The 9,464-nt window shown below is 42.6% G+C and overlaps 1 long non-coding RNA gene across 2 annotated transcripts in view; it reads right to left on the bottom strand.

The window, feature by feature from the left end:
* Positions 1–1,299: 1,299 nt before the first annotated feature.
* LOC105372666 (uncharacterized) overlaps positions 1,300–9,464 on the bottom strand; it is a 483,513-nt gene continuing 475,348 nt past the window's right edge. For both annotated transcript variants that reach the window (XR_007067652.1, XR_007067653.1), the window contains 3 exons: positions 7,290–7,506; positions 4,841–4,933; positions 1,300–2,306 (listed from right to left, as the gene is read on the bottom strand). This is a non-coding gene — a long non-coding RNA (uncharacterized LOC105372666). The remainder of the gene's footprint in view (positions 2,307–4,840; positions 4,934–7,289; positions 7,507–9,464) is intronic.

The raw sequence follows: 9,464 nt of genomic DNA, 5'->3' as shown, positions 1-9,464 counted from the left end.
CTTTGTATTATTGACACTCGGGACCAGATTGTTCTTGGTTGTAGGGTCTGTCCTGTACATTGTAGAATGCTTAGCACCATCCCTGGCCTCCACTCACTAGGTGCCAGAAGCACCTGCTCCACTCCCACCCTAGCTGTGACAACCACAAGTGTCTCCAGACATTGCCAAATGTCTCCTGGGAGGCAGACTTGTCTCAGTTGAGAAGCACTGGTCAAGCATTTTTCTAAGTGTGTCACATGCGTTAGCTCATCTAACCTTTGCAACAACTCTGTGAGGTAAGTATTATTAACCCCATTTCAGAGATTTAAGAAAAGGAAAAAACAAAACAAAACAAAACAAAACCTTAGCTATTGAGACACTAAATAAATTCTCCAAGGTTGCAAAGCTGGAAGCAAAGCCCACTTCTTCTCCAGTCCACCTGCTGCATAGCCTCTTACTGGGCAGGGGAACATCATGGCCACACTTAGCTGCCTGGAATTCAGGGTTGGTGACAGCATGACTGGCTGATCCTAATCCCAATCCATGCCTTCATATGTCAAATACATAAAATGCATGTTTCTGGCTTAGAAGAGTGCCTAAAACATAGGAAAAAATACTCAAGTGATAGCTACTATGGTCATTTTATTTTATTTTATTATCATCATATTTTTTTTTTTTTGAGATGGAGTTTTGATCTTGTTGCCCAGGCTGGAGTGCCAAAGAGTGATCTTGGCTCACCACAACCTCTGCCTCCCAGGTTCAAGCAATTCTCCTGCCTTAGCCTCCTGAGTAGCTGGGATTACAGGTATGCACCACCACGCTCAGCTAATTTTGTATTTTTAGTAGAGACAGGGTTTCTCCATGTTGGTCAGACTGGTCTCAAACTCCTGACCTCAGGTGATCCACCCACCTCGGCCTCCCAAAGTGCTGGGATTACAGGCGTGAGCCACCGCACCCAGCCTACTATAGTCTTTATTATTACCTGGATCTGAGCACATTGCCACCCAAAACAAAAATGAGGTTTATTTGCAAGAGAGAAGCTTGGGCTGGATGTCATGACAAAAATGACAAATAATAGTACATTATATAATAGCATATAACAGTGTCAGCAACATCCTGTTTCCTAATGCTGGGGGATCAATTTCGCATAATAGCTCTACTAAGATATTGAAATATAAGTAAAATAGGAAGGAAAGTAAGACACAGTCCTCTCTTATATCATTTGAAACTGAAATTCATCCATCATAAGAACTTAACTGCTTACTGTGAGTTTAGAAGAGATAATATGTTACAGGATTTAAGAAGCATTAAAACCCTGTGTTTTGTTCAGAGATGATTCCATTTTATTCATCTATTGTTTCTGTCCATTAAGTCAAAAATGGATGAGAGAATTATGAAGCAGAGAGGAACAAATACCATCCATAACCACTCCCGCACAAAAGGAAGGACCCATAACTGAAAACCATGCCCAAGCCAGCTTGTTATCCATAAAGACATATAAGGATTTCTTCACTCATTTAACAAATATATATACAGATATATGAAAATCAAAAAAAATTTTGAGATTGTACTCTGAGTTAGAAACAGTTCAAAATACTGAGGATACAGCAGTAAGAAAATCAGACAAAATTCCTTCTTCTTCCAGAGTTTTCATTCTAGTACTGAGAGGCAGAAAATGAACAGATAAGGACAATACAGAGACCATATTTGCACTCAGGACAGTAAGACTCCATGACACTTTCCCCTCCTTTCTTAAAGGGCTTTGTTCTATGGAAACAAAGGCTTAGATGAGATTGGTGAAGGCTCACAAAATGTTTCAGGTAAGATTCAACCAAAGAATGTTGATGAACCCTTTACTTTACAGATAAGAAAATTGAGTCCTAGAGAAAGGAAGCATCTTGGTCAGCGTCACACTGTGTATTAATCAGGAGTCTTTCTGATGCCAAAACAAACAAACAAAAATACTCATTCAAACTCAATCCCCCAAAAAGGGTAAATTTGGGTCTTATAACTGGCATGTCTGATGGGTAAATCTTGTCTCCAGGTAAGGTTTGATCCAGGACTTCAGATCCCATTGCTGGAACACAGACTCTTTTGCATCTCTTAGTACTGCTTTCCTCTCTGCTTCATGCTCATTGAGGTTCACTCGGCAAACTTACAAAATGACTGCCGGCAGTTCCAGGCTTACATGCTACTAGGCAGTAAAACCTAGTCTCCAAGAGCTCAGCTCTGCAGCCAGATCGACAAGTTCAAATCCCAGATCCACCACTTGCAAGCTGTGTGGCTTCAGGCATATCTCTAACCTCTCTGTGCCTCAGTTTCCCCATCTGTGAAATGATGACAATAAAAGTACATACAAAACAGGATTGTTGTAAGGATTAAAGAGATAATTCATGTAAAAGCATGTTCTTAAAGCAGTGCCTGGTAGAGAGTAAACACTCAGTAAGTGTTAGATATCATTATTGCCAGTTTTCCAATTCCAAGGGAAAGGGCTCGCTTTTTCCAATAACTCAGGCTGGGCAAGAAAGGTAATCCATCCTGCCTGGGTAATGTGCTCATTCCTCAGCCAATCACTGGAGCTGGGGTGATAGAATACCCTGATCGGCCAACTTGGGCCTGGTTCCTACTGGAGCCATGGGTACAGGAAGGTGCAGTCTGGTTTGAATCCCATGAGCTGAATGTGGGGAGAGAATAAATCTTCAAAACAAAACAGGCTGATGCCAGAAGGAGAACAAATGGATGTTGGGCTGACAAAGGAGACAGCTGTCTATTCCAGAGAAGCTTTGAGGCATGTAAGGAGCTGGGGAGTGGAAAGAGAGAGGGGGAGATATGCTAAAAAACAAAGATGAAAATTACTAGTAGAGACACAGTGGGCAAAAAGGATGGAAGAGAATAGGGGAGCCACTGATCCATCACTGCATGTCAACTCAAGCAAGGACACCCTGAGAAATGAAATTGAGTCTAACTCTGTCATCCTTTTTTAGGCTAACATTTCTGGTGTGGGGACAGGGATGTTGACTTTGTTGTTAAATTGATTCTGAGATCTTGCTATTTCTTTGCCCATTTTCAGAGACCTCATATTACACCACAGATTTCTAGTGTCTCTTCTGACTAATCAAGACTTTGGGGCAAGGCATGGTGGCTCACACCTGTAATGCCAGCACTTCGGAAGTTGAGGTGGGCAGATTGCTTGAAGTCAGGAGTTCAAGACCAGCCTGGCCAACTTGGTGAAACCCCATGTCTACTAAAAATACAAAACTTAGCTGGGCGTGGTGGCGTGTACCTGTATTCCCAGCTACTCAGGAGGCTGAGGCACAAGAATTGCTTGAGCCTGGGACGCAAATGTTGCAGTAAGCCACTATCAAGCCTGGGTGACAGAGCAAGACTATGTCCCAAAAACAAAAACAAAAAAAAAAAAAACAAAAAAAGACATTGAGCACTCTGGGGACTGAATTCCCACATGGCAATGTATGAAGGTGAGTTGCTTTTTTGGACAAAGCTGCTACATTCTAGTTCCTTGACATGAAAAATGTGGCCCATGCACCAGCACAAGCATCATCTGGGAGCTTGTTAGAAAGGCAGAATCCCAAGCCCCATACCAGAACCTCTGAATGAGAATGAACAATATTCCCAGGGGATTCGAATGCATACTCAAATGCAAGACGCCCTGTGCCAGTTCATCACAGCCCCCACATGGGTCATGCCGACTTATCTCATTGAGGGTCAGGACCAGAACTAGGATATGGCAAGAGAATTATGGAGGGCATAAAATTCATGGAGGCCCTCATTCCCAGTGTCTTCCAAGTGGCTCCTTGTTAGGGTTGTGGAAATACAGAATGAAAATTTGGACAATCCTGAGAGCACACAGCTTCCTTTTTTTTTTTTTTTTTTTTGATGGAGTCTTGCTCTATCACCAGGCTGGAGTGTGCAGTGGCATGATCTCGGCTCACTGCAATCTCCACCTCCCGGGTTCAAGCAATTCTCCTGCCTCAGCCTCCTGAGTAGCTGGGACTATATTAGCACCACCACACCCAGCTAATTTTTGTATTTTTAGTAGAGACGTGGTTTCACCATGTTGGCCAGGATGGTCTCGATCTCTTGACCTCGTGATCCACCCGCCTCGGCCTCCCAAAGTGCTGGATTGCAGGTGCGAGCCACCCTGCCTGGCCGCGCACAGCTTCTTAAATGCTGTACCCTAGATGCAGCTCTTGCCTGACTCTAGTCCTGGTCCTGCTGAAGATGTTCAATTTACTGTCAATGTCCCATTTATATAGTATTAGGACTAGACAGGAGCACAGAAAAATCTAGTACAACTCCTTACTTTTGCAATTGGAAATGTAAACAAAAAAGAGAGTACAACTGGCCCAGAGTTGAGCTTCTGATTAGTAGCAGAACAAAGAAGAAAATTCAGTCTCCTATTGCTGGGGCCCAGGAAGCTTTCCCCACAAAATCACACCTGCCTCTCTTCCAACTTGACCGTAGGTCTTGGATAAGTTTATACTAAAGGGGTTGAGGTCTTGCAAGTAGATTAAGGATCATGGAAGGCAAGATTTTCTAATTCCTTTATTAACAAATCATTACAAATGATCACCTATTGATAAATAACTTGGTTGCCTAGGCAACGTGGATATACTTAAAGGAACTTGAAAGTACATTTTCTTTTACTTGATGAGAAAATCAATTTTTAAAATAATCAAAAGCAAAGATTTCTTAGATGTAACACCAAAAGCACAATCTATAAAGGAGAGAAAAGATAAATTGGACTTGATCAAAATTAAGAACGTTAGAGGAATGAAAAGACAAGTCATTGATAGGGATAAGATATTCAAAACTTAATTAGGCTGGGTGCAGGGGCTCACACCTGTAATCCCAGCACTGTGGGAGGCCGAAGCAGGTGGATTTCTTGACCCCAGGAGTTCAAAACCAGCTTGGACAACATGGTGAAATCCCATCCCTACAAAAAAAAAATTACAAAAATTAGCCAGGCATGGTGGTGTGTGTCTGTAGTCCCAGCTACTTGGGAGGCTGAGGCAGGAGAATCTCTTGAGCCTGGGAGGCAGAGATTGCAGTGAGCCAAGATCGCACCGTTGCACTACAGCCTGGACAATGGGAGTAAAACCCTGTCTCAATAAGGAGAAGGAGAGGGAGAAGGAGGAGGAGAAGGAGAAGGAGAAGGAGAAGAAAAAGGAGAAGGGGAAGGGGAAGGAGAAGGGGAAAGGGAAGGAGAAGGAGAGGAGAGGAAGAGGAAGAAGAAGAGGAAGGAAGAGGAAAAAAGAAGAAGAAGAAGAAGAAGAAGAAGAGAAGAAGAAGAAGAGAAGAAGAAGAAGGAGAAGAAGAAGAAGAGAAGAAGTAAAGAAGAGAAGAAGATGAAAAAGAAGAAGAAGGGGAGGAGGAGAAGAAGTAAAGAAGAGAAGAAGACGAAGAAGAAGAAGAAGAAGAAGAAGGGGAGGAGGAGGAGGAGGAGGAGGAGGAGGAAAAGGAGAAGAAGAAAAACAGTTACCCAAAAAGGGCAAAAGACTTGAACAGATATTTTACCACAGAAGACATATGAATGGCAAATAAGTCCATGAAAAATTGCCACATCGCTAACCATTAGGGTTTCTTAAACATAACAAAGTGTATATTTACTGCCTCAAGGACTTAGCATTAGCTGTTCCTTCTACCCGGAATGCTCTTCCCGATATACTAAAAAAGCTTGTTCTTCATATTTGTACGTCTGCATTCAAATATCACCCTCTCCACTTAATCCCTGCTTCCAGTGCCCCCTTCTCTCCTTCCCATCTTGATTTTGCTGGCTCACACTTATGACCTGACATGCTATATATCTCGCTCATTTACTTAGTTATCTGCTTGCGCCCTCCAAAATGTAAGCCCTCTTAGGGTAGGGAATTTTTAAATATTTTACTCACTGCAGTATTCCCAGCACCTGGAATAATGCTTAGCACATATTACAAGCTTAATAATATTTGCTGAATACGTGAATCCACTTAAGTCTTTGCTCTTCATGTGTTCATGGCACCTTACAGTAGCATTTTTGTGGTTATACTGCAGATATTTATCATTAGATTCAACAGTGGGAAAAAGAGCACTTTTCAAAATGCTTTTCTTTTTGAGTTATCAGTTCATATAACAGAATTGCTTGAAAACCAAAATTTAGTATGAGATAATGGATGTTATAGCACTTTATAAGCAGCAAAGCACCGCATTATTCTTAATAATCAGACTTATGAATACCCACAGGCTAATTTCCTGAGCCTGAGATAACTTAATTCTGAGAAAGTCACTTTGAACTGTCTACACCTCAGTTTCTCCACCCGTCAAATAAACAGTTGAAAAACCAATGACATCTAGCATCTTTTGGGAAGTTTAGTGTGGGGGCATAAGAATCTAGACTGTTATCAGAAAAACCTGGGCTCAAATCTTGGCTCTGCTCACACAACCCACAGGTCTTGGGCAGTAACTTAATCTCTTTAAGTCCTCAGTTTCTGCATCTGTAAAACGGGGGGGGGGGAATGTCCCTGCCTCTTTGAAATGCTTTAAGAGAAAAGTGAGATAACACCTGCAAACTCCCAAGCACATAGTACGTACTCTGAAAATGTTAATCTCTCCTTTCTTGAGTTTCTAATCCATTTGTAACTCATCATCAGTTTCATCTGATATTTTAGTTCCTTCTACCTTGTAGAGAGATTTGATGTTAGTTTTGATTCTAACATTTATAAATCTTCAAAGTGAAAGAATTAAAGCTGCTAGTCAGTAAAACTTAATTACTAAATGTTCCCAAGTAGAAGTTTCCCCCCAAAATTGAGTTCCACCCACCCATCTGGGCCTGGAGAGTCAGTAAGGGTAGCCACGTTACACATTGCTCTATTTTGAATGCCACAGTGAACAGCACAGGCTTAACTGCAATTAAATAGTCCCTGCTGACCACTGAATATACAGTACATCATGTCAGGAGAGGCAAAACTGTCAGATTAGTGGAAATTCATTTTGGGATTGCTGGGTAATTTTGAGAGCTGACAGCCAAAGAAAAATCCATGATCCCTTGTGTGTGGCAGCATAGATATAGATCACCCTTGAACAGGAGTTGTTTGGGAACTCAGAACGCAGAAGTGCTCCAGATTTGAAAGCTCACTTCTAGAGCAAAGTTGGGAAAGAAAATGTGAGTGACCAGATCATTGTTTTAAATTCTAAAAACTGGAAAGACATCTCTGTAGTATCAACCCTGGCTAGCAAGCAGGAGGTATGCTCATAAAGCTGGAATATGCTTTTGTAGTCAGTCACTTCTGAGCTAAGGATTGGGAGCTACTCACCGAGATAACAGCTGGACATTAGTTCAGGATGCTGAGAGGATCTTATGGTTTTGGACTCCTTTTGTCTGAATGGACATGTTTAAAATTGTTTTCTGGGGGTTGCTTGATCCTAGATGAGGGTCTTCAATCTCTCCACTCCAACCAGCAGCCAGTGCTTTCTATATGAACCTGCTTTCTCTATGAAAATGCTTTATAGAAAGCATTTCTATGAAAACTTCTTGATGGGAGGAAAAAAAACATTGCACTAAGTTGATCTGCTACGGAGGGCTCAAAAGCAATAACTAACATGAATTAAGCTGCTCAATGTGTACAGAAACTGTGCTTAGTGCTTTCCCTGTATTATCTCTTAGACTCTACTTGGATCTTATGAGGTTGGCATCCCTGTACCCATTACATGGATGAAGAAGCCTAGAGAGGTACAGCAATATGACTGAAGTCATACTGCTATGACAAGAAGTGACTAGGGTTTGATTCTAATCATCTCGGTCTACAGTAGCAGTTCTCAACCAGGAGATTTTGCCCCACAGAGGGCATTAGGCAATGTCTGGAGACATTTTTGGTTGTTGAAACTGCTACCAGTATCTAGTGAATAGAGGCCAGAGATGCTGCTAAACACCCTACAGTACCCTCCACAACGAGGAATTAGCCAGCCCTAAACATCAGCAGTACTGTAGCAGAGCAATGCTGCTCCAGGACTGTGATTCTGAAGTGCAGTCCCTGGACCAGGAGCATCAGCATCAGCTGGGGTCTTGTTAGAAATGCAAAATTTAGGCTGGGCACAGTGGCTCACGTCTGTAATCCCAGCGCTTTGGGAGGCTGAGGAGGGTGAATCACCTGAGGTCAGTAGTTCAAGACCAGCCTTGCCAACATGGCAAAACCCCGTCTCTACTAAAAGTACAAAAATTAGCTGGGCATGGTGGTGGACACCTGTAATCCCAGCTACTCGGGAGGCTGAGGCAGGAAAATGGCTTGAACCCAGGAGGCGGAGGTTGCAGTGAGCCAAGATCACACCACTAGACTCCAGCCTGGGCGACAGAGCGAGACTCAGTCTCAAAAAACAAAAAAAAGAAATGCAAAATATAGGACTTCACCCCAGACCCTCAGAGGGCATGGGGCCGGTAACCTGTGGTTTAACAATTCTCCAGGTGATCCTGATGCAGGCCAAAATTGGAGAACCACTGGTCTAGGGCCATCGGAACATGTGACTGATCTCTGCTGCCCACCCTAAATGTTCACAAATCCTCTAAGGCTGATATGGTTTGGCTGTGTCCCCACCCAAATCTCATCTTGAATTGTAGCTCCCATAATTCCCACGTGTTGTGGGAGGGACATGGTGGGAGATAATTGAATCATTGGGGAGGTTCCCCCATACTGTTCTCATGGTAGTGAATAAGTCTCATGAGATCTGATGGTTTTATAAGGGGAAACCCCTTTTGCTTGGCTTTCATTCTCTTGCCTGCTGCCATGTAAGATGTGCCTTTTGCCTTCCACCATGATTGCGAGGCCTCCCCAGCCACGTGGAACTGTGGGTCCATTAAACTTCCTTTTCATTATAATTTACCTTGTCTTGGGTATGTCTTTATCAGCAGTGTAAAAAAGGACTAATACAAAGACTAGAACAAAATTAGTATCAGGGCCTTTGGCTTGTAGAATTCTACCCCTGTCCGAATTCTAGACTATCAGACAGCTTTTATCATTTCTGAAGCTACAAAAGGATGTCATTGGCTTGTCCAGGTCCTCCCCTGGGATGTCCAGGAACCAGACAATGTGATGGTGAATTGTTCAGGAAGACTTAGAGTCCCCACCAATGTTTCTCAGAACATTGAGGTACTGTTATCTGCAATGGCACAAATGAATATATATTGACCACCCTGCCCCCCGCCTCCAGTTTATGTCAGATTCTGGGAGAGATACATGTACAGATGTCATCTCAATTACTACCATTAATAAGGATAATGATAATTACTGTTTCTGGAGGACTTTCCATGGGCTAGGCATGCCTGCTAAACATTTGACCTGCATGATCTCATTCTTCATCACTACCTTGTGAGTTGGGTTTCATTATCATGTCCATTTTAGAGATGAAGAAACTGAGGGTTATGTCTGTATGTTACAGACCTTCCATCTGATGCCGTAATGCTCTAACTGGCTGCCAAATTAAACAAGTTAACTTTG

Source organism: Homo sapiens, chromosome 20, assembly GCF_000001405.40.
Source record: "Homo sapiens chromosome 20, GRCh38.p14 Primary Assembly".
Taxonomy (NCBI): domain Eukaryota; kingdom Metazoa; phylum Chordata; class Mammalia; order Primates; family Hominidae; genus Homo; species Homo sapiens.
This window is presented reverse-complemented; position numbering and strand designations above follow the sequence as displayed.